Source organism: Homo sapiens, chromosome 6, assembly GCF_000001405.40.
Source record: "Homo sapiens chromosome 6, GRCh38.p14 Primary Assembly".
Taxonomy (NCBI): domain Eukaryota; kingdom Metazoa; phylum Chordata; class Mammalia; order Primates; family Hominidae; genus Homo; species Homo sapiens.
Genome location: NC_000006.12, coordinates 10,541,397 through 10,566,243, shown reverse-complemented (window position 1 = coordinate 10,566,243; position 24,847 = coordinate 10,541,397). Strand labels below are relative to the sequence as shown.

Here is a 24,847-nt window from a genome sequence, read left to right as displayed (position 1 = left end):
TGAGAATCAGGAAAAGAATTTTACAGAGTGTGACTCTAAGCTGAATTAAAAAAAAAAAAAAGCACACATCAATCAGATGCAGGATAGGGAGGAAGAGCATCCGGGAGCCTCCCGGGAGAGGGACTGCATGCGTCAGGGCAGGAAGGCTGGGAGTGGCAGAACAGGGATCCGCAAGTTATCTGGGGAAGGGCGCAGCTAGAGAAGTCACTGGAAAGGCCAAGGGGGCCAGATCTCGAGGAGCTCTCTGTGTTTGGTGAAGGTGCTGGGATGCTATCCATACACCGTAGGGGAAGGGAATCCATACACAGCTTCTAAGGAGGAGAGGGATGTGATCGCATGATCATGGGTGCATGTTACAAAGGCCATCCTGTCACTGTGGAGGATGGATTAAAGCACGGAACAGGGAAACTAGTTAGGAAGAAATTATACAACTTTAAGAGAAAGAAGAAGGGTAGACGACGGCGCCAGAAGTGGAACGTGTCACGGGGGAGCGATACTATCTTGGCCGGTGGTGTGGGGGGAAAAGAATTTACCAGGAAGAATTTACCAAGACTGTTGTAGGTAGAGAAAGGTAGATTTCTTCAAGAAAGTAGGAAGATACATTGCGAAAAGGCAACGGGCAGGCCAGCAGAAGCTGACTGCAAAGAAACAAAGCCTTGCTGGAGATTTTATAGGGTAGTGTTCATGCTGAAGAGAGCTTTGTGCAGTACTGACAATGCCAAGGTTGCGGGGAGCTAATCTGCAGGTGTCTGGTGATAGCTGGTCGTGGGAAAATCGTGAATTATTGGCTCAGGAGGTTGTGTCCTGGACCATGAAGAAAGGCGGACTTGCAGCTTATCTGCTTTCCCTCTGCTTTCCCTTGATCCCACCAGCTTGACTCCTTTTCCCTAATTAGGACTCCACAGAAAACAGGCCTGTGGCAAGATCCATTTTGCTGAGTGTTTATTCTGTGCCCAGCACTTGCCCACAAGCAGGGCACTGTCAGATCTGTTTTTCTCTGGCCTCCTGCAAGGGCCTGTGTGGTTCATGCACTGCCTGCCTCATGCTCAGTCCAGCTCTCATCCTCGTTCGCTCGGCTATGGCCACACGGGCTGCTTTTCTGGCTCTGCAGACACCAGGCTCACCCACGACCTTTGCGATCCCTATTCCCTCTGCCTGGGACCTCTTTCACAAGTGCGTGGCTGGCTCACTCTCATTTTGGGAGGCAGTTCATGTGCTACCATTGCCAAGAAGCCTTCCTGTCCCATTTCATCTACAGTAGGTTGCTCCCTGTGTATTTCCCTCATAGCATTTCTCATCAACTCTAATGATCTGGCTTCTCTCTCTCTACTATTTATTGGCTGTCTCTTCCTTCTAAAATGTATCCTCCATGAGGTAGGGGCCTTATGTGTCTCATTCACTACTATTTCTCAGTACCCAGCAAAGTGTCTGGTTGCTCCATAAATATTTATTAAATGAATATCCATCTTATAGATGAAAATACAATAACAATAACTCATTTAGACCTTACATATTTGATATCTATTATTATTGTCCCATTTTACAGATGAAGTCACTGAGACACAAAAGTCAGGTACTTTGTCCGAGGTCACACAACTTCTAAGTGACAGAGCCGGGATTCACATTCAGGCCATCTGGCTGCAGGGTCCAGGCTTCTGCCATCTGTGCCATATTGCAATGCTAAGACCAAGGTTGACAGATGTCGGGGGATACATGGCTGGTGATGGAGGAGCCAGGAGTCCAACCTGGTTCTCTCTGACTCTGGAGCCTGAGCCCTTGACTTCTACACTCCAGGAAGAGCCAGATCAGCAGGGATGAGGGTAGGGAGAGCTAAGGGAGACCAGCCCGCAGGTCTGAGCTAACAGAGAATGGTGTCAAATTCAGAGACTTGCAAAGGGGAGAGTCTGAGTTTAGTTCAGAGCATGTAGAATTTGAGGGGCCCGCCACACACATTCTCTACTCTGCTTCCTGCTTTTGGAACAGGGCACATTACTCAGCCCCTCTGGTCCCGTCTTCATATTTGCAAAATGTGGATTTAAGTACCCACTGGATGGGATTCTTGTGGAGATTCAACTGAGATACTCTAAACCCATAGGCACATGTTCAGTAAACATTAATTGCCTTCATCTTTCCTGCACCTCTGCTCACATGAAAAAGCCAAAATCTCCAGGAAAATGGGCTGAATATCAGGATGAAAGAGAAAGTTTTTGAGTGGGTCTAATTATATAACCATTCCGCAAGCTGAATAAGACTTAGAATTAGCTAAGTTTCATCTTCAGAATATTCGCAGTAATTGCAATCATTCAATGAAGAATTCATTAAACTGGGTTCAATTTAAAATAAGCGGATAACATGTGCTACCTCCTTCCCTTGGATGTTTCTTTTTATTTTGATTTCTTGTTAAGCATATGCAATATTTGTCTTTGGACAAGTCATATATATATATATATATATATATATATATATTTTTTTTTTTTTTTTTTTTTTCTTTTTTCTTTTTTTGAGATGGAGTCTCACTCTGTCACCCAGGCTGGAACATAGTGGTACAATCTCGGCTCACTGCAAGCTCCGCCTCCTGGGTTCAAGCGATTCTCCTGCCTCAGCCTCCCAAGTAGCTGGGATTACAGGGTCCTGCCACCACGCCAGGCTAATTTTTGTATTTTTAGTAGAGAAGGCATTTCACCATGTTGGCCAGGGTGGTCTCGAACTCTTGACCTCAGGTGATCCACAGGCCTCAGCCTCCCAAACTACTGGGATTATAGGCGTGAGCCACCACGCCCAGCTAAGTCACATATTTTCATCTTAAACTTTCTCATCTGTAAAATGGGAACAGTCCCCTTCTTATGGGGTTTTATAAGAATTAAAGGAGATAATGTGTAAGAAATTTCCCTTGCAAATTAAGCATTGTCCAAATATAATAGAGTGACATTATTATTGAACATGTTTTTATGAGAGAAAAGGGTACGGTTAGGTCAGTTAAAATTGTACAAATGGTTAATGTTGTATCCACTCACACACCCATATGTATAAAACTAAATCTTGCCCCTCTAATATCACAGGAGGGATGTGCTTATTTGTTTATTTTCTTGGAGACCGAGTCTCACTCTGTTGCCCAGGCTGGAGTTCAGTGGCATGATCTCAATTCACTGCAACCTCTGCCTCCCGGGTTCAAGTGATTCTCCTGCCTCAGCCTCTGGAGTAGCTGGGATTACAGGCGTGCACCACACCCAACTAATTCTGTATATTTAGTAGAGGTAGGGTTTCACCATGTTAGCCAGGCTGATCTCGAACTCCCGACTTCTGGTGATCCACCCACCTCAGTCTCCCAAAGTGCTGCTTGTTAACAACCCTTAACCCACCCTGCCACCCAGTGTAGGACAAAGGGTGTCCTGCAGTGGGCCTGTGCTTTGCTCTGCCCAGCGTCACCCTGAGCAGCCTCCTCCACCAAAGCCTGTCCCCAGCCCTTGGCTTCAGGGTAGAAAAGGGACCCAAGAAATGTTGGTGAGCATTCTTCACCCCTGTGATTTGTTTATGGATAGGAATTTGTTTTTGTGGGTTTTTTTTTGTTTTTTTTTTTTTTTTTTTTTCAGAGAAGTTCTGACTCTGTCAAGTGATCCTTCTGCCTTGGTCTCCTGAGTGGCTGGAAGTACAGGCGCACACCACCATGCCTGGTGAATAATTTATTTTTTGTAGAGACAGGGTCTTGCTTTGTTGCCCAGGCTGGTCTCAAACTCTTGGGCTCAAGGGATCCTCCCGCCTGGGCCTCAAAAAGTGCTGGGACTACCGGTGTGAGCCACCGTGCCCAACCAGGGATGGGAATTTGGACCAAGCAGGGCCAATCTGAGGTCTCCCTTAAGCTGCCGCTGGAACTCTCAGGAAAAAGTATTTCTTGTCCCCCAGGAGTAACCACTGTGAAAAGCAAGTACACTTGGAGCTACTTCTGGCTTTCTGGGGAGAATTTGCCTGATGGAAGCCAGCACAGAGATGCAGAGAGATAGGGGGACCATCTCGACCTGGTTGTACCCATCAAGGTCCCATGCCCAGGACTGCCCCTCAGACCTGGGCAAACTGGGACAGTTGGTCTCCCCACAGGGAGATGACCTAGCAAGAAAGGGTCCTGAGCACACGGTTTGACTCGCTGATCCAGCTTGATTGGGAGCTCCCTTGGGCATCTCAGATGTGTGACCCGGTAACTTCTGGTGCTTGTTTAAGCTCCTTTGAGTTGAGTTTCTGACACTTGCAACCGAAAGAGTCCTAACACCCTCCCAAAGAATGTGCACATATAAATAAAAGTCACAGTTTAAAAAGCAAAATAAATCAAAGTAGGAAACACGATATTTTTAGAATTAAAAAATGAGGAAATGGGATCATGTGATCCCTTCTGAGGTTGAGAGAATTTGACAAAAGGGCCCTGAAAAAAAAAAAGGAAAACGTATACAAAATGGAAAAAGGAAACGAAATAAATGAAAACATTCTTATGGAAGAAAAATATCATGGCATGAGAAAGGTCAGAGTAATGAATGAGCAAAGACTCCAAAAGCACACTTAGTGCAGCGAGGGAAAAACAGGAGCTGAAGCCAAAGAGTGGGGTAGCTCTGTTCCTTAGAGACGAAACCACCCTGAAGTGTAAGAAGACATTCTAGCCATGGGAATGGACTGGGAAGAAGATCAACCAGCGGCCACTTGGGTAGATGCTGAACAATTTCACAAAGCGTAAAGCAAAAATTAAATGGCTTCAGGTGCTCTGCCTTGGGGAAGATAGGCAGATGAAAATGCTGCAAAAGCCAGGCACAGTGGTTCATACCTGTAATCCCAGCACTCTGGGAGGCCAAGGTGGGCATATCGGCTGAGGTCGGGAGTTCGAGACCAGCCTGACCAACACGGAGAAACCCCGTCTCTACTAAAAATACAAAATTAGCCAGGCATGGTGGCACATGCCTGTAATCCCAGCTACTTGGGAGGCTGAGGCAGGAGAATCGCTTGAACCCAGGAGGCGGAGGTTGCGGTGAGCCAAGATCGTGCCATTGCACTCTAGCCTGGGCAAGAGTGAAACTCTGTCTCAAAAAAAAAGAAAAAGAAAAGAAAATTCTGAAAGAAGAGCCGGGAGAGCTAGAGCACATGGGTTTTTCTTAAAGTGACTTAGAGCAATCATTACAAAGCTCAGAGATGTTAGAAAATATAAGGGTGTACCGGAAGTCAGAAGTTACGGCTGTCACAGCCTGATGCTCTGTAACGTGGGTCAGAGAAATCTGTGGTCCTGGAGAATTTCCTTTGAGAATGTAAGCAGAAGGGAGGGGGCTAGACACCCCATCTGTGCACAAGCCACACAGAAGAGAAGGACAACCACTTTACCTGGTTCCCCTGAAAAGGAGTGAGAGACTGGGGCCCCTAAGGACCTCTTTCTGGCCTGTTGTATCACCATTTCTAACAGTGTAGAGAGAGCCTAGTGGTTGAAAACCAAAAGAGAAGTCACTCTCAGTAGAAAGGCACCAAGAAAAAAAAAAGGCAGTGTGAAGCTCTGTGATTTACTGCTACTTCTATGAATATCCCTTCTATTCAGTCTCGCCAATTCGAACCGATTTTCACTTTGTTTTCTGAAACCATCTAATTCTAAGGTACTAATCATTTTCTCGGTCACATTGCTCTTGGGGGTGTTTTGGGAAACCTGAAATGCCTGCACAGGGTCTTGCTAACACATTTTAATTTAAGGTATTTAGGAGAAAGGGAGGCGGTCGCTTTGAGGGAAGAAATGAACAGCACCACCTGCACTTGCACGTTTGCAAAAAGATGTTTACCCTGTACGGACAGAAGAATTTTTCCTCTTAAAACATGACATTGAAAATAGAAGAGCTCAGCCCGGCGCAGTGGCTCATGCCTGTAATCCCAGCACTTTGGGAGGCCGAGGTGGGCGGATCGCCTGAGCTCAGGAATTCGAGACTACCCCTGGGCAACATGGTGAAACCCCGTCTCTACTAAAATACAAAAAAATTAACCGGGCGTGATGGTGGGGGCCTATAATCCTAGCTACTCAGGAGGCTGAGGCACAAGAATCACTTGAGCCCGGGAGGCAGAGGTTGCAGTAAGCCGAGATCGCACCACTGCACTCCAGCCTGGGCTACAGAGTGAGACTCTGTCTCAAAAAAAATAGAAGAGCTGATATTGATTAACGGCTGTGTGGTTATATAAGAACCAGATTCACATGCCAAATCTTAAATCACAAAGAATGCTCAAGTGTAAAACCATGGGAGTTACTCGAGCGTGGGATTAGATTTTCCACTGCCTTTGAAGGTAGAGAGAGGCACTACTAGGGCTAGAGCATTTGAAGATTTGTTTGCTGTAATTCACTTGTAATTTGTGAAGGCCTACCTAGAAGCAGGATATCCTTTCTCCCTGAACCAGGATGTTGCCCAGAGTCTAAGAAAGGAAAGAAACAAAGCCCCAGGACATGGCACGTTATCCTGAAAGGCATCCCTTGCAGAATCAGACAGGACAGACCACTGACATGGACCGCAATGGCCTTCCTCTCCAGGCAGTTGCTCTCTGGAGGAGCTCTCGCCTCTAATTCCTGCAAGGGAAATGGGATGCGCTTGCCAAAGTTGATGGGCAGTACATGATCCAGGCTCACCAGCCCTTCTGCCTTTCTCTCTATAGATTCCCACTAGCAGCGTGGGAGGTCTTTACATTGTTCTAGGCATTGTGTCTTCTGCAAAGAAAGGTATGTGTAGGAATGAAAGGGGTCTTTCTACCTGGGTTCCCCATTTTGTAGCTGGAGAGATTTGAGGTCCCATGAGGTTCTATGATTTACATGGGGCCACACTGTTGCAGTGAGAAGGCAGAAGCCAGCATGCCATGGCATAAACCTACAGCAAAAAAGGTGTTCTCTCTCCTAAAAAAGAGAAGAAAAGGTAGCATTCTCTCCTCTACCCATGTAGATGTCGTTCTCTCCTATACCCATCTAGATAGCATTCTCTCCTACACCTATCCAGATATCATTCTTTTGGTCTCCCAAGAGATCAGAAAGGGGTAAGGAAAAAAGGGGAATTCTTTTTCCCTTGATTTTCTTATATTATTTGACATTGATAAAACTGACCAGGCTTCTGGCAAAATAACCACAGATATTTACATTTAATAGAAACCAAAACCCATGTTTTTCTAAAAAAAAAAAAAAAAAGCAACAATTTAGACTTTTGTTAACTTATGAAATGCCCTCATCTCAGCACAATACTTAAGGAACCACTTGACTGGGACCCAACTTTTATGAATTTTAAGGAAAGAATGAAAATAGAAAGGGAATAAATATTTAAATATGAAAATCAGCTCCTAAGTACCTAATGCTCCTCAATGATATGCGAATGGTGGAAACAACAGATCAAAGGTGAAGAGAGGATGAACCCAGGCAGAGGCAGGTGCGGAAACAGTGTGCGCAGCATACGAGTGAGCCGCATTCACCAGGAAAGTCACCCTGGGATTCAAACACCAGGCATGGTATTTTCCAGAGAATGCCGGCGTGTTTATCGCCCAGCAGGCCCTGCCCTGCAGCCTGAGAGCACCTACCAGCCTTTCGAACTTGGCAATCCCCCAACAGCCAGAACAATGATTGCTTTTCTCTTGCTATAATAATGCTGTCTAGTTCATCAGAGATCCATTTTGTATTTTTCATTGAGTCCAAAGCACGCTGTTTTCTTCAGAAGAAATCCCATCATGTTTTATACACTTTAAAAAACAATCGGTCTGGTAAATTAGTAAAGATAGGAAAATTCGGGTGAGAAAGCAAGGAGTTTCTGCTAGGATCTCATTATTTTATTTGAAATAAAATGTATTTTTAAAAATCCTACACATATAATATGGTACATGCATGAGTCCAAATATTTCTCAGCTCAACAATGTCTTAGGGAGACAGCTCTGGTGCCATAGTAAAGCTTCATGCTTTACCATTCATTCACTCACTCACTGATTTATTCATCTAATATATACTTATTGAGCATTTACTCTCTGTTCTAAGCACTGAGGAGCAGTTAATGAGATAGAAAATAACCCTGGCTTCATGGAACAAATGCAGAGGAGACCAAGAACAAACCCATGCAAATAGGTAAATATCCTAATTCCACAGGGCAATAAACTCTTTAAAAGAAAAACAGAGTGGTGTGCTGGCCAATGAGGGGGAGTATCAGAGCTGCTGACACCTGAGAGCTGAGATCTGGCTAAGGGGAAGGAGCCTGTGGAGGCCTGGAGTAGGCAGGAGGGTGGCCAAGGCAAAGATCCTGGGGTAAGAGCAAGCCTGACAAATTTAGAGGAAAGAAAGAACACCAGTGTGGACTAACAGCTATTGTGGTAAAGATGTAATAAGATGATGTGTGAAAAAGAACTTGATGGACCACCAAGTGATAGCATGGAAAGGTATTACTTAGTAGTGCTAGAACATGTGAATTATCACATAAAGAACATCATTCTGGGCTAGGCATGGTGGCTCATGGCTATAATCCCAGCATTTTGGGAGGCCAAGATGGGGAGGATAGCTTGAGCTGTGGAGTTGGAGACCAGCCTGGGCAACATAGCGAGACCCTGTCTGCACAAAATTTTTTTTAAAAATTAGCCCAGTATGGTGGTGTGCACCTGTAGTCCCAGCTACTCAGGAGACTGAAGTGGGAGGATTGCTGGAGCCCAGGAGGTCCAGGGTTCAGTGAGCCATGATGTTGCCCCTGCACTCCAGCCTGGGCCACAGAGTGAGATCCAGTCTCAAAAAAAAAAAAGAACATCTTTCTGCATTTAGAAAGGACTAGGGTGAGAACTATATATGTTCCAGTTTTCATCTTCTACTTCCTAATAAAAAGTGGCTGGTTATTCTAAAGCCCTTTCAAATACGACACATTTCTTTTGCATGAAATATGGAATTGTACGTACCTGGAATCCTATTGAGTGTCACCCAGAAATGCTCATCAGGACTGAAAGTGTCCTTGGACCACTGGAGCAAATCAACAGCCCGTGGGTCATGCAGAACAAAGTTGGCAAACTCTCTTGATAGAGCCACATAGGCAGAGCCAAAGTAAATTGTGAGATTATGGGGGGGAGGCGGTTTCAACGCTGTTGTTCTTATCACATAGGAAAGCTCTTTGCCCAGGTGCTCTTGGTGGACATATTTAGTCCGTCCAATTGCATGAGCTGGGGGCAGCACCCCTGGGGTGATATTTTTACCTTTAAATCCTTTCAGATACTGAACTATTTCCTTGTTGGTTTTCAGGGGGAAGTCTTGCCCACAGGTGTTGATAACGTACTTCCATGAGACCTCGAAGGCAGAAAGATCTCTGATGCAGTTCAGGTCAGCCTGGAGCCTGGAGATCCCTCCATAGACAACGGGTTCCATCTTGGAAGCCAGAAAAGCGTTTGGGAAGCAGCTTAATAGTTGCTCTACCGCATCTTTAAATTCAGTTGTTGCTTTTTCATCCACATGAACACAGTAGATATTTTGGGGCATGTAAATAGCCCTGAAGAGCCTTGCAAAGGTGTCAAAGTGATGATGGATGACCATTATATATGCCAAGGGAAAGTCAGCTTCTTCCTTAGATAAAGGGGCTGTGATGTAGTGGCTCTGGGTCAAGTATTCCTTGCAAGAAGACTTCTCATGGATCATTAGTTTGTTTTTCCACAGGAAACGTGTTTTTCCATTGATAAAAGATGTGCAAACTTGAGTCAGCCTCAAAGGGTCTGAGATATTTAGCCTTTGGAAGCTTGGATCTCCCCCAAAATTGAACACAGAGAAGACGATAAAAATAATTACACTAGAGACAGAAATTATGAAGAGGTAACGCATTGATAAAGGCATGCCTCAAAGAAGGGTGAAATGTCAAGAGACCGTCAAAATCTGTAAGTCTTTTTTCCAAACTCACTCGTTTCTCTGAGTTCTTATTTTGCAACATACTCCACTCACTCCTGCCCTGTTGGAGACGCTGGGAATCGATTCCGTTTCATCCCGAGAGTCCAGCTGCTGTCTCTGTCCCTGTGCCGATATTACAGCCAGATCCCGCCTCTCTCAAACCTCCTTTGTTTAAATCCCCGTGGCAGGTTGCTGAAGCCCAGCCTTCCCTCCTCCCTCTGCCTCCCCGTTTGCATCTGCTAGCTGTTTTGCTAAAACTCCGGTAACTCTCTTTCCCCCGGCAGATTTAGTTTCCCATATCTCTTTCTTTCATTTCCCATGCCACCCCCGCCCCCTGGTTACTGCCATTCAGGGAATGAGCGCAGTGAAAGCCAGAGTTGAAGTGATGAGCTCTGGCAGGCGTGCCGCTTCCTGCTAGTCCCCTAGCAGGCGGCTGGACTTGCCCTCTCTTGTTGTTCGTGGCAAGGATCCACAGCCTGGCCTCTCAGCTCTTCCAGCGCAACCCACGGGATAGAAAATAGCTTCTGTTTTCCAACGTGCTGTTTCAGGAAACGTGACACAAGTGACATCTCAAATAAAAGAAAGCCTCATCCATCCCAGCTCCATTGTAATGCTTTTTTGGCCCCACCCCACTGTTTTTCAAAACAAGAGCTTACTGGAGGAGGAGTTCCTGTCCCAGGGGGTCTGAAATTGCTGGGGCGCCTTGGGCTCCTGACTCTGAAACGAACCCCTCTCCTCTCACTTCCAGCTTCGGCTGTGGTGTTTGTCTTAGAATACTGGGGTCAAAAGAAGAAGTCGTGAGCTACATCCACTGAGTTATATGAGACCTTAGAGCTTCATGGGAAATAATTTGAATCTTGGTCACAAATGATGCTCAGACAGGGGATTTGGTGGGCATTCAGGCTTTAACCCCCCCAGAGAACGGCATCAAATGCTCAGAAGTGTCATATGCCTGCCCAGTTAAGCTTATGGACCACCTAGGAAGTGGGTGTTTTTATCCCCTATTTGTAAATATAGTGGTGTTCTGGCCAAGGAGTATGAAGCTGTTTTACTTGGAAAGTTCTCATCTTCAACTTTCCACTTTCCCACCAACTAATTTTTAATGAAATGTAGATTAATGCATTTTATTTGGTATCCTCTTAAAATGGCTTGCAAAACACCAACTTAACCATTGACTGCCTGCCCATTTCCCCTCACTATTCACCTGACCTAAACAACTCCGTGCCTCAACCCCAACACGTTCACTACCCCACCCCATGCAGAAAGAATGTCCTTTAATGCACATTTTCTTCCATTTGAAAAGTCTCTACCCTGCCATGAATGGAATTGATAGGACAACACGCGGATTCCTTGCCTTCACAATGGGCAGGAAAGCAAGTGCTACCCTCCTGGGATTCAGGGGCACCCTGAACTCCGACCAAATGACACATCATTTCCTGAGCACACTGTCGCTTCCATTCTTCTAACTTTCATTGTTTACATTTTTCATGCGTTTCCAGCTTGTACATTATTTTTCTCTCTCCCTTACCAAAGTCTCCTAAATAAACTCTCTATATAACCCACCCCTGGATTTTTAGGTCAAGTAGAAAACAATACAATGAGAAAGCAGTTCAGTCTAATTCTTAGTGTCTTCTATGGAATCGAGCAAAGAGAATGATCTAAAATTTATGATAAAGAAAAATTCAATCCTAAGTTTTTCTTCTTCTGAATAATACTTTTAAATATTAGGTTATTGTGTATTCTACTCCTAAACAAAAGAGAGTAATTCAGTATCTTCTTTGGCAAAGATTTGTGGCTTAGAATGAACATTAAAATAGTTACAGTTTGACAAAGCATTCGGTGCACATAACTTAATTTGGGCAACAGAGTCTGTTTACATTATTGTTTCCAACTGGCCAATAACATGGGGGTTTGGATTTATACAAACTTAGGAGACAGACATTAATAGCATTACTATATTAAGAAATATAGACACTAACCAAATTAGGAATGTTCGTAATACTTCCGTACTCAATCCAGTACTTCAAATGGCATTGTGTGTTGAAAAATATAGTCGATTTTCCTCCCAGCTCTTTTGTCTGTCCTTGGGCCAATTTTCTCCACTCTCAGATTCTGGTATTAAAAAATCTTGACAGGAGAACTTTAAAAAAAATCCCTTATTGCATTAGAGGAAGACTGTTACCTTTCTTTTCTAATAGGCTGTACAACCTGCTTATCCAGACACCATGCACTTTTTTGCTACTGAGACTGAACAAGTCAGCCCTCCAGGCCTGCCTTTAACTATAGCTGAGGACAAAGTTGACACTAGCCAGCCATGCCTTGTCACTCACTTTGGATAGAATTATTCCCAAACTAGCCAATTAATCAGGCTAGACATGTTAACACTCCCCTGGGGCCATCTTAGAGGCTTTCTCCATATTCCGTTCATAGTCTTTTATTTTGCAGACATTATTTGAGGTATGTTTGGTTTTTTTCCTTTGAGGCAGTGTCTGACTCTGTCACCCAGGCTGGAGTGCAGTGGCACCATCATGTCTCACTGCGGCCTTGACCTCCTGGGGTCAAGCAATCCTCCTGCCTCAGCCTCACAAGTAGCTGGGATTACAGGCATGTGCCACCACGCCCAGCTAATTTTTGTATTTGTAGAAGAGACGGGATTTCGCCACGTTGGCCAAGCTGGTCTTGAACTCTTGGGCTCAAGCGATCCGCCCACCTTGGCCTCCCAAAGTACTGGGATTACAGGCGTGAGCCACCACGCCCGGCCTATTTAATGATTTTTTTCCACTTAGGATGATATGTAGAACATAGCTCCAAAGGAAAGAGAGTATCCTTTCTTTGAAATGACAGAGGACTTAGAATCTCAATGAATTAAAAAAATAATAATCAAAGGGGGAAAAGATTGCCCTCCTCCATGTGCTCAGCATCTCTTGGCTTCCCATGTGAAGGCCAAGGTACGAAAGACCTGGGGAAAACTGTGTTGGAGGCAGATGACACTGAGAGTTTGCTACATGCCAGGCTAAGTCAACTAGTGAAGGAGGTGGAAAAGACCTTGCATGAGGCACTAAAAATCTGGGACTTCATCTCCTTGCCAGAGGAGCACACAACAGGCTTCCAGTGGAGGAGCACCTCCAGGCAGGGCGTGCCAGCTGGAGGAGGATTGTGTACACATTCCCTCCTGCATCTTTCCTCTATTTAATTGCATGTACGAATGCACACTTCATTACACCCTCATAATTGTTCTGAGACTTGTTTGTCTATTGTCAATTAACCACCATCCTTTAGTTGGGAAAGGACTTGAGGGGACACAGGTTTGAGCAGCAACACTAGACATGTAAAGTTGAATGAAAGCAAAGATGGCACTGAGAAGACTGGCTCAGAGAGAGTTTGTTAAAGTCGCGTTGAGAGGCTCAGCTGCACTGGCAGAAAAGGTTAGGTAAATGGGGTGAAACTGTACCCATTCTGAGGCTCCCTGATGGCTTTCCTTGGAAGGGTATTTTTACGTGGCTTGCTCTGTCATTGAAGAAGTCAAATGACTCAGGGATTCATTCTTAATTATAAAATACAGAGATTTGTTTTTTCCCCTGACCTAAGAGTAATACATGAAAAAGTAGAGAATGCTGGCAGTCCAATTCATTTTGGACAGCGTATTAAGTACAGTCGTCCCTGTTCCAGGGATGAGTTCCAGGACCTCTGAGGATACAAAGTCCACAAATGCATAAGTCCCTGATATAACATGATGTAGTATTTGCATATAACCTATGCACAGCCTTTCTTGTACTTTAAATCATCTCTAAATTACTTATAATACCGAATACAATGTAAATGCTATGTAAACAGTTGTTATGCTGTATTCCTTAGGGAATAATGCCAAGAAAAAAAAAAAGCCTGTACATATTCAGTACAGAAGCAACCACTCTTTTTCCCCCGCCCAAGGTCGAATCCAAGGATTCAGGATCTGGGGAAACAGAGTGCTGAGGTTGGTTGAATCCAAGGATTCAGGACCTGGGGAAACAGAGTGCTGACTGTAATTCTGCTCTGGGTGGCCAGGTGGTTTGTAAATTTTTTTTTTTTTTTTAACATGATAATGATCATGATACTAACATGAAGGAAGAAGACATTTCCAAAGCACATCTTTAACTAAAACAACAATCCTCCCGTAACAAAGACATTCTCTGGATTTGTTGGATTCCCTGGGGAAAATCCTGCTTCTCCGGGGGCCCAATCATTTTACTTTCTATACCTTTCATCTAATTAGCAACAAAAGAAATTGTTGTCTAGATCACAGAACCCAAAGCATTATTTTAAATTCTCATCTCAGGCCAGGTGCAGTAGCTCACACCTGTAATCCCAGCACTTTGGGAGGCCAAGATGGGTGGATCACCTGAGGTCAGGAGTTTGAGACCAGCCTGGCCAACATGGTGGAACCCCCATCTCTACTAAAAATACAAAAATTAGCTGGGCATGGTGGCGGGCACCTGTAATCTCAGCTACTTGGGAGGCTGAGGCAGGAGAATCGCTTGAACCTGGGAGACAGAGGTTGCAGTGAGCCGAGGTGGCGCCACTGCACTCCAGCCTGGGTGACAAGAGCGAAACTGCGTCTCAAAAGATGAATAAATAAAAAATAAAAAAAAATAGCCAGGCGCAGTGGCTCATGCCCGTAATCCCAGCACTTTGGGAGGCCAAGGCAGGTGGATCACGAGGTCAGGAGTTCAAGACCAGCCTGGCCAAGATGGTGAAACCCTGTCTCTACTAAAAATACAAAAGTTAGTCAGGCATGGTGGTGGGCGCCGGTAGTACCAGCTACTCAGGAGGCTGAGGCAGAGAATTGCTTGAATCAGGGAGGCGAACGTTGCTGTGAGCCGAAATCGTGCCGTTGCACTCCAGCCTGGGCAACGGAGCGAGACTCCATCTCAAAAAAAAAAAATAAATTAATAATAATAATAAATAATAAAAATTAAAAAATAAAAAATAAATTATCTCAGAGGCGGGGAAAGAAGTTTAACATGCAGAATTTTAAAGACCCAGGCGGCAAGTCCAGAGGTGGTCTTGCCATCTCTGTGTGAGCTGGTGTAATCTGCACCTGATTTTGATGCAGCAAAGTTATGATGGAAACACTTCCTGGATGCTGAATGATGCCAAGCAAATACTTGCAAAAGACAGTATACAAAGTATTTAAATAGGCAAATGTTAAGGCGCATGTGGCTAGGGGCAGTCTTCTATTAGCATACATCTAACAATTGGAAAAATGAAAATCCTGACATTTGGGGCCTTGGAAAATGAAAACTAAGTTGCCAAAAATAGGTCACGGCCAATGAACATCTCAAGATGAGACTTACCACTGAATTTACTTGTGGAAATTGTTTAACACTGGGAGGGTGACTGACTCATTAATTGTATTACCAAAACATTGGTTTCCACAACTATCAGCCAAATTGGGTGTGTCTGTAGCTTGAGGATAAGGGTAGTACTGATTAGTGGTTTGCAAACTTTACTTTTACATCTCATCACCTGGAGGAGCTGTAGAAATACAGGTTACAGGGCCCCTGCCCTAAGAGTTCAGTAGGTTCCAGGTGAGTTTAATAATTTACATTTCTGACAAGTGTGGTGGCTCACGCCTACAATCCCAGCACTTTTGGGAGGCCGAGGGAGAGGATTACTTGAGCCCAGGAGTTTGGGACCAGCTTGAGCAACATAGTGAGACCTTGTCATTACAAAAAAATTAAAAAGTTAGCCAGGCACAGTGGTGCATGCCATCTACTTGGGTGGCTGAGGTGGGGAGATCACTTTAATTTGGCAGGTTAAGGCTGCGGTAAGCCATGATGGTGCCACTGCACTCTAGCCTGGGTGACAAAGCAAGACCCTGTCTCAATAATAATAATAATAATTTGCATTTTGGTCCCAGATAAAGCTGAAACCACTCATCCTAGGACCAAAGTTTGGGAGTCAAGGGACTAGAGCAAAATTACTCGATTTTTTTTTCTCAATGACCCTATCTCTACTTTCCCTATAATTAATATATTGTAAGAAAAAAAAAATGTTAGGCCGGACTCAGTGGCTCATGCCTATAATCCCAGCACTTTGGGAGGCCAAGGCAAGGAGTTCAAGACCAGCCTGGCTAACATGGCGAAACCCCACCTCTACTAAAAATACAAAAATTAGCCAGGCATGGTGGTGGGCACCTGTAATCCCAGATACTCGGGAGGCTGAGACAGAAGAATTACTTGAACCCGGGAAGCAGAGGTTTCAGTGAGCCCAGATTGCGCCACTGCACCCCAGCCTAGGCAACAAGAGCAAAACTCCGTCTCAAACAAACAGAAAAAATTGGGGTAAACTACTATATAATTTGGAAATACATAGTAAACATGAACTCAAATGATGGACAATCTAACCACTAGAGCAAAATTTACTATGGAAAACTAATTGGTGGTAGTAGTGGGAGAAAATGAATACACAAACACCTGGTGCTTATATTTAAATGAGAGAAACCTTGGTTACAAGTCATCTCCCAAACACCATCTCTAATTACGATACACAGCAACCACATCTGGGCACAATCCATATTATACAAAATACAGAACAGAATTATTTAACAATAAACACTGCTGCATTGAGTAGTGGTCATAAGCTGAATTCGAAGACGGTGTAGGAAAGGGATTAAAAGAGAGACAGAGAGCTACTGGGGAGACTGAGGCAGGAGAATTGCTTGAGCCTGAGAGGCGGATGTTGCAGTGAGCCCAGACTGTGCCACTACACTCCAACCTGGGTGACAGAGCGAGACCCTGTCTCAAAAAAAAAAAAAAAAAAAAAAAAAAGAGAGAGAGATTGAGAGAGAAAGGAAGTAAGGCAGAAAATACCAATTCAATTCGTGAAGATATGGAGCAACAGCAACCCTCATGCCCTGATGGAGAAGTGTGAATTGGTATGACAACTTTGAAAAACCAACAATACAATGTCTACTAAAGTTGAGCATACCTATATCCTATGACCCAAAATTCCATTCTCCAGTATTTACTCAACAGAAATGAAATATATTCATCAAAAGATATCTAAGTCAAGATTCGCTGCAGCCATATTCATAATAGAGCCAAACTGGGGACTACTCAAATGCCCACCAACAGTTACTATAGAGCAGGGTTTCTCAGCGTGGGCACTATTGGCATTTTGGGCTGAAAAATGCCGTGTTGTGAGGGCTGTGTGTTGTAGGATGTGCTGCCCTGTGCATTGTAGGATGCTGAGGGGCACCCCTGGCCTCTACCCACTAATGCCAGTAGCACCTTTTGCTTCCCTCCCTCAACCTCTGACAACCAAAAATGTCTTCACGCTGGGCGCGGTGGCACACTCCTGCAATCCCAGCACTTTAGAAGGCCAAGGCGTGTGGATCACGAGGTCAGGAGTTCAAGACCAGCCTGTCCAACGTGGTGAAACCCCGTCTCTCCTAAAAATACAAAAATTAGCCGGGTGTGGTGGCATGCGCCTGTAATCCGAGCTACTTGGGAGGCTGAGGCAGAGAACTGCTTGAACCCAGGAGGTGGAGGTTGCAAGTGAACTGAGATCACGCCATTGCACTCCAGTCTGGGTGACAGCGAGACTTCGTCTCAAAAAAAAAAAAAGGTCTCCAAATATGGGTTCTTCTCTCTATGCAACAATGAGAATGAATGAAATACAACTGCCTGCAACAAAACGGTGAATCTCACAAACATAATGTTGAACAAAAGCAAGCCAGATAGAAAAAATAACATATGCTGTATATTTCCACTTATATGAAGTACAAAAACAAGATTTTATATATCTAGATTATACCAGGAGTGGGAGGGGGCTGCCCTGGCAAGTGGAGTGGATGGTAATAAGAGGGTACCAGGAAAGTATGAGTGATGACGCTGATAGCTGGCATTAGGTGCTACACTCAGAAGGTCACTGGTGTTTGCCCCTAATCACTCAGGTAGCAATGGCTGACCCAAGACCTGAATGTGAACGGCTTTGTTCCCAAGCTCTTGCTCTTGTTGCAGCAGCCTTTTGTGGTGCCCTTTCTGGGAGGCCCAGGAATATCTTGGTGTCAGTGCCCAGATCTGCTTCACAGAAAAATCCTTTGACCTAAGGAGAACTGTGGTGTTCACTTTCATTTATTTATTTTTAACTTTTTTAGAGATAGGGTCTCATTCTGTTGCCCAGGCTGGAGTGCATGGAGTGCAGTGGCAAGATCTTAGCTAACTGCAGCCTCAAACTCCTAGGCTCAAGTGATCCTCCTGTTTCAGCTTCCCAGATTTTGATCTTTAAATACCATTCTCTATTCAGTAGAACCAGGGCTTCCTTCTTGGAAAGAATGGCTGATTGCAAGACTGGGGCAGGTTAAGTGCAGGATTAGCTTGGAACATCTCCTGTGCCAAAAAGAATCACTGGGACTTGTTGAAAGAACACACAAGCCAGCTTGAACAGGCTTTCACTGGCCAAGTCTGGGACAATTTGAGCAGTAAAGTAAGTAAAAAGAATAATGGATTATAACCCATTGAATAAATATAAATCTAAGTCCCCAGAGATATAAATAAATAAGCCAACACACAGGAGAAGGGATGGCTCTACCTAATAGTTGAATGTCAACTAATAAACACAGAAGAAGGATGAATTTTATTTAAAATTCATGATTTGGTAACGATCACAGTAAAAACTGAGTCAGGCAAGATCCAATGAATGGCAAAACTGGAGAGTGATTGTTTGATAAACAGGATATCTACTTAGTAATAAATAAAAACACTTCCTAGCTTTTCACTGGAGAAATGTGGCAGGCACTATCTTAGCCAAGTGATAAAAAGTCATCATCATTATAAGGCTCTACAGCATTATTTCCACCATATCTTTGCCCAAAAGGTATAACCTAAATTTAATCATGAGAAATCATCAGAGCTGCACTCTTCAAAAATGAGATCTTGGAAGACAAAGACAGACTGAGAAATTGTTCCAAACTGGAGGGGACTAAAGAGATATGATGGCCAAAGTTTAGCTTAAGATTCTTGATCAGATCCCAGATTCATGAAGGACATAATGAGTATAACCATGCACACTGGAATAGGGTCTGTGGATTAAATAGTAATGCTACTTATCACTTGATAGTTGTACTGTGGTTACATGGGGGTGGGTGTCTTTGTTGCTAGGAAATATGCTTTGAAATATTAAGGGATAACTTGCAAATAGTTTAAGAAAAATATATGAATAAGAGAGAGAGCAGATATGATTAGGCAAGTGTACAAAATATTATGGGTTGGGAAATATGGATAAAAGGTATACGGGAGCTCTTTATACTATTCTTGTTAAGTATAGTAAGTTTGAACTAGTTTAAAATAAAAGGTCAAAGGAAATCTTTGTGATCTCAGGATGGCAATAATTTCTTAAGGTAGGACATAAAATCATGAACCATAAAAGAAAAAAAGTGTAATGATTCCATAAAGTATATTTTTATATACAGATGGGTGTGCCATAGATTACCAACATATTATTAATGTTATCTCTGGAAAAAGATGTAATACAGAGAAGGATGAAGAAGTATGGACATGTTTTATTTTTCTTAATCTTTTGTGTACTGTTTACATTTTTAAAATAAGGATATACTGCTTTCATAAAAATCAGCTTTAAAATATAATAAATAAAATAAAAGGTTGAAAACTCACTGAGATCTTTAAATATTTTATAGATCTTCAAAGAGTAATATTTTCTTTTCTTTTCTTTTAAACGGAGTCTCACCCTGTCACCCAGGCTAGAGTACAATGGCGAGATCTTGGCTCACTGCAACCTCCGCCCCCTGGGTTCAAGCAATTATCCTGCCTCAGCCTCCTGAGTAGCTGGGATTACAAGCACCTGCCACCACGCCTGGCTAATTTTTTTGTATTTTTAGTAGAGACAGGGTTTCACCATATTGGCCAGGCTGGTCTCGAACTCCTGACCTCATGATCCGCCCACCTCGGCTTCCCAAAGTGCTGGGATTACAGTCATCAGCCACCGTGCCTGGACAACAGTAGGTTTTTAGTAGTTGAGTTTTAGGGGAGTCAAAAGCTATACATAGGTTTTTGGCTACACAGGGGTTCAGTGGGCCTAACCGCCACATTGTTGGCACTGGTCAACTGCATTTGTCTGAAACCTGTAGATAAAATGGACAAAGCTGCTCTCAGCCAGAGGTATCTGGCCAAACGGCTTCAACTGTCCTGGGTTTTGCCTGCCGTATATGCTGCTGAGATCAACGTGTAGCCCATCTGTAACCCATTCCCAGCAAGTCAGCATGCACAGACATGGCAGGGAAGCTCAGCAGTGAGGCATAAAGAACAGCAAAAGAGGCTGCCGTTACAGGAATCAGTTTAAGAAGCTAAAAACACACATCGGGAAAATATTACACATGGGGAAAAGATCAAGTCATTTCTAGCTGCCCTTGGAACTAGACCCTGCAACCTTTGGAACAACTCCAGGTTTCTACTTTCAGGCCCCACATCTTGTCAACAGTGACCTATCCATTGTAACTGATTTTATTTCTTAACCTTGCCTTTTCTTTAATTTCATTTACCCTGCCATCTTAACCATCCCTTGTATTGCCTGGGAGCTGAAAAGCAAGGAAGTCTTACACCCTCCTCCACTGCTGGCTTTTGCCTGATTCACAAAGCTGAAGACACTTGAGTCTCCCAGACCAGGACTAAACTCAGGAAAGCAGCTAAAAACAGCTTCACATGGCTCAGGATTTGAATGGAAAATTCTACAAGGGTGACTGATTTACCCTTCATGAAAACTGTTATGATTTTTCACAAGGCACGAAGGAGGTTAGGATTGCAACGATCATAGGAATTTGAAGTTCGCTTTATTCCTAATAAGGAGAATACTAGAAAGAGACACAGTTATGAATCCTTCGAGGTAAAAACAAAAGAACATGAAACCCTGTCAGAAACTGTCCTAAGTTTGTCAAGCTCAGGAACACAAAAGGTAGTATTTAAAGCAGCAAAAATCACTAAGGAAGTTTGAGCTGGCTTGATGTGGATTTAAACAAAACTCCAAAGTTTCTAGGTGGTCAAATGTCGATAGCGCAGACCAATGAGCACCCACAAAAATGGAGATCACAGCCAAGGCACAGCTCTTGCAAAATGGAAAAAGCCAAAAAAGTAAAAGCAAAGGCACCAACTAGGACTTCAGCACGAACCCTTCAGCTCACCGTGCAAGAGCTGGGAGGAAAAGGATATAGACTAGAAAGAGAAGATACAGTTTTATTAGAAAGGAGGGGGCTGGGGGGCTGTACCCACTTGATTCTTAAAAAGAGGAATGATGGTTTACATAAAATCGCAGAAAAGGAATCTAATCATAGTAACTACATATTAGGATTAAATTAAATTGCTTTATTTATTTTCCCAGCAGCTCTCTGACCACCTCATTTATTTATTTATTTATTTATTTATTTATTTATTTGAGACAGAGTTTTTGCTCTGTTGCCAAGGCTGGGGTGCAGTGGCACAATCTCAGCTCACTGCAACCTCTGCCTCCCGGTTTCCAGTGATTCTCCTGCCTCAGCCTCCCGAGTAGCTCAGATTACAGGTGCCTGCCACCACGCCCAGCTAATTTTTTGTATTTTTAGTGGAGATGGGGTTTCACCACGTTGGCCAGGCTGGTCTCGAACTCCTGATCTCAGGTGATCTGCCCACCTCCACATCCCAAAATGCTGCTATTACAGGCATGAGCCATCATGCCCGGCCCCATTTATTTATTTATTTATTTATTTAATATTTTATTTTATTTTATGTATTTATTTTTGAGATGGAGTCTTGCTCTGTCACCCAGGCTGGAGTGCAGTGTGGTGATCTCGGCTCACTGCAACCTCCGCCTCCTGGGTTCAAGCAATTCTCTGCCTCAGCCTCCCGAGTAGCTGGGATTATAGGCACCTGCCACCACGCCCTGCTAATTTTTTTGCGTTTTTAGTAGAGATGGGGTTTCACCAAGTTAGCCAGACTGGTCTTGAACTCCTGACCTCGTGATCCACCTGCCTCAGCCTCCCAAAGTGCTGGGATTACAGGCGTGAGCCACCGTGTTGCCTATTTTACTTTTTGAGACAGAGTCTTGCTGTCGCCCAGGCTGGAATGCAGTGATGTGATCTCGGCTCACTGCAACCTCCGCCTCCTGGGTTCATGCAATTCTCCTGTCTCAGCCTCCCAAGTAGCTGGGATTACAGGCGCACACCACCACGCCCGGCTAATTTTTGTATTTTTACTAGAGACGGGGTTTCGCCATATTGGCCAGGCTGGTCTCGAACTCCTGATCTCAGGTGATCCGCCCATCTCGGCCTCCCAAAGTTCTGGGATTACAGGCGTGAGCCACCAGGCCTGGCCCATTTATTTATTTTTTAAATGAGTCTTAGCTATTTTCTTGGTCACAGGATTTAGGAGTTACAGACCTAAACTAACATTTTGTCCATATAGTGTGTCCTTAATTCAATGTCAGACAATTTCATCTCCTAATCGACTCCATTTTAAATTCAAATGTAATCATCTTGACACTGACACTTACTAGCTGGGCGTCCTTGGGCAAGTAATACAGACTCCATATCTCAGTGTCCTCAGTGATTGCAACAATCTTAATTCAAAGAAATAACGTCCAAAGGGCACTTAGTCCTCTTCTAAGAAGATATATCAAAGGCCAACAAGTACATGATGCCCAACATCATTGTTAATTAGGGACATGCTAATCAGAACTATAAGAGGATACCACTTCACACTCACTAGAAGGGCTAAACTAAAAAAGATAGACAATAACAAGGATATGAAAAAATTGGAACCCTCATACACTGATGGTGGGCATGCAAGATGTTGCAATCCATTGGAAACCAGTTTGGCAGGTCCTCAAAATGTTAAACATAGAATTAACATTGGGGGCTAGGTACAGTGGTTCACGCCTGTAATCCCAGAACTTTGGGAGGCCGAGGCAGGTGGATCATTTGAGGTAAGGAGTTTGAGACCAACCTGAACAACATGGTGAAACCCTGTCTCTACTAAAAATACAAACAAGTTAGCTGGGTGTGGTGGTGTGCTCCCGTAGTCCCAGCTACTTGGGAGGCTGAGGCACGAGAATTGCAGAGGTTGCAGTGAGCTGAGATGGAGCCACCGAACTTCAGCCTGGGCGACAGAGCGAGACTCTGTCTCAATTTAAAAAAAAGGGCCGGGCGTGGTGGCTCACTCCTGTAATCCTAGCACTTTGGGAGGCCGAGGCTGGTGGATTACTTGAGGTCAGGCGTTTGAGACCAGCCTAGCCAACATGGTGAAACCCCGTCTCTACTAAAAATATAAAAATTAGCCGGGTGTGGTGGCGCATGCCTGTAATCCCAGCTACTTGGGAGGCTGAGGTAGGAGAATCGCTTGAACCCGGGAGGTGGAGGTTGCAGTGAGCCGAGATCATGGCATTGCACTCCAGCCTGGGCAACAAGAGTGAAACTCCGTCTCAAAATTAAAAAAAAAAAAAAAAAAAAAAAAAGAATTAACATAGGGACCAGCAGTTTCACTCTTGGTATCTACCCAGGAGAAATGAAAACATGTGTCCCCATAGTGACTTGTTCAGGAATGTTCATAGCAACATTCTTCACACAAGCCAAAAGTAGAAGCAACCCAAATGTCCATCAATGGATGAAAAAATAAACGTGGTGTATCCATATAATGGAACAGCATCCATTCCTATAAAAAGTGAAGTACTGATTCACGCGATAACACGGATGAACCTTAAAAACATGGCAATAAGTAAAAGGAGCTACGCATGAAAGAACACATATAGTATGATTTGGTTAATATGAAATGTCCAGAAAAGGCAAATCCATAGAGCCAGAAAAGCAGGGGTTGGGTGTGGAAATGGGAAGTGGTCATGAGGTTTCTTTGTGTAGTAATAAAATGATTCTACATTAGCCGGGGATCATGGTTGCATAACTGTAAAGGCACTAAAAATCATTACATTGTACACAAAAGTGGGTGAGTTTTATGGTATGTAAATTATATGTCATAAATTTCACCCTATGTAAATTATACCTCAATAAACCTGTTACCTTTAAGAGGGGGAAAGGCAATTAGTTTAGTGCGTAGCAGTGTAAGAACTTACAGGATGATGATGATTGGCAAGCCTTCTAGAAAATCTTTATGGTGCCTAAAACTGGGGCAGGAAACAGCTGTAACTCTGTCGATCTGTTGTAGATTCTATCAGTGACTTGGACGGTAGAAACCTGTTGGATATTTTTTCTTTTTTCTTTTTAAATTTTACATTGCAGGTCTCATTAGCAGAAAACTGCTGGATTTGTATGAAAGCAACAACACAATTGGTTTCATACTAGCAACGTAAGGTGAATTTGAATTCAATCTGACGCCAAGCTTTGTGTTGGTTGAGGCTCGCAAAGATATAAAGCTCCCTACCCTCCAAGATTCTGCTTTCTGGCAGCAGCAATAGATGATTAAACCGCAAACCCTAACTACAGTGACAACAAAAAGTATTTGGAGCACAAAGGACAAACTGCTCTGCCTGAGGGTAGGGGCTTGTCAATGATTTAGGAGCAAGACCAACTCAACTGGGTCCTCAAAGATAACCAGGATTTTTGCAGGCTAAGAAAAGCCTAGGGGGAAAACTAGCTCAAAGGCAAAGAGGTCTGTTTGAATTCCCTGAATTGAATTCAGAGTCCCTTGAATTCCCTGCAATTACATAGGGAATTCAAGTTGAAGCCAAATCAACTACTTCAACTACATTTTCTGAATATTTTAAATCACAGCCTCTCAGGGCCAAAATAACTCTGCTAACTTCCCTTAATTAATGATTTTACTTTTCTAGACCTGAACTAAAACGTATAGGAATTTGACCCAGCGATCCCATAGATCCAAAGGAATATAAATCATTCTGTCATAAAGATACATGCACGCGTATGTTCACTGCAGCACTATTCACAATAGCAAAGACATGAAATCAACCTAAATGCCCATCAGTGATAGACTGGATAAA

General features: G+C 43.7%; 1 protein-coding gene across 11 annotated transcripts in view, besides 4 other annotated features; it reads right to left on the bottom strand.

The window, feature by feature from the left end:
• GCNT2 (glucosaminyl (N-acetyl) transferase 2 (I blood group)) overlaps positions 1-24,847 on the bottom strand; it is a 108,018-nt gene that overhangs the window by 63,125 nt on the left and 20,046 nt on the right. For 3 of the 11 annotated variants that reach the window (XR_007059235.1, XM_005248997.4, XM_047418632.1), the window contains one exon: positions 8,902-10,410. The exons of 7 other annotated variants lie outside the window; for them this stretch is intronic. Coding sequence is in view for 3 of the 4 variants with exons in the window: in XM_005248997.4 (XP_005249054.1) it covers positions 8,902-9,820 (919 nt within the window). In the remaining variant the exon portion in view is untranslated. Of the gene's footprint in view, positions 1-8,901; positions 10,436-24,847 lie in introns of those variants that run through there. One more of the 11 variants, NM_001491.3, reaches the window with a different exon arrangement.
• Positions 963-1,524: an enhancer, noted in NCBI's record as "H3K27ac-H3K4me1 hESC enhancer chr6:10564953-10565514 (GRCh37/hg19 assembly coordinates)". NCBI's record gives its function as "activates a minimal SCP1, AML or CMV promoter by ChIP-STARR-seq in naive H9 embryonic stem cells {active_cell/tissue: H9 hESC(naive)}" and the evidence as "EXISTENCE:reporter gene assay evidence [ECO:0000049][PMID:30033119]".
• Positions 6,261-7,015: an enhancer, noted in NCBI's record as "H3K27ac hESC enhancer chr6:10559462-10560216 (GRCh37/hg19 assembly coordinates)". NCBI's record gives its function as "activates a minimal SCP1, AML or CMV promoter by ChIP-STARR-seq in primed H9 embryonic stem cells {active_cell/tissue: H9 hESC(primed)}" and the evidence as "EXISTENCE:reporter gene assay evidence [ECO:0000049][PMID:30033119]".
• Positions 7,142-7,689: an enhancer, noted in NCBI's record as "OCT4-NANOG hESC enhancer chr6:10558788-10559335 (GRCh37/hg19 assembly coordinates)". NCBI's record gives its function as "activates a minimal SCP1, AML or CMV promoter by ChIP-STARR-seq in naive and primed H9 embryonic stem cells {active_cell/tissue: H9 hESC(naive and primed)}" and the evidence as "EXISTENCE:reporter gene assay evidence [ECO:0000049][PMID:30033119]".
• Positions 9,623-10,518: an enhancer, noted in NCBI's record as "OCT4-NANOG-H3K27ac-H3K4me1 hESC enhancer chr6:10555959-10556854 (GRCh37/hg19 assembly coordinates)". NCBI's record gives its function as "activates a minimal SCP1, AML or CMV promoter by ChIP-STARR-seq in primed H9 embryonic stem cells {active_cell/tissue: H9 hESC(primed)}" and the evidence as "EXISTENCE:reporter gene assay evidence [ECO:0000049][PMID:30033119]".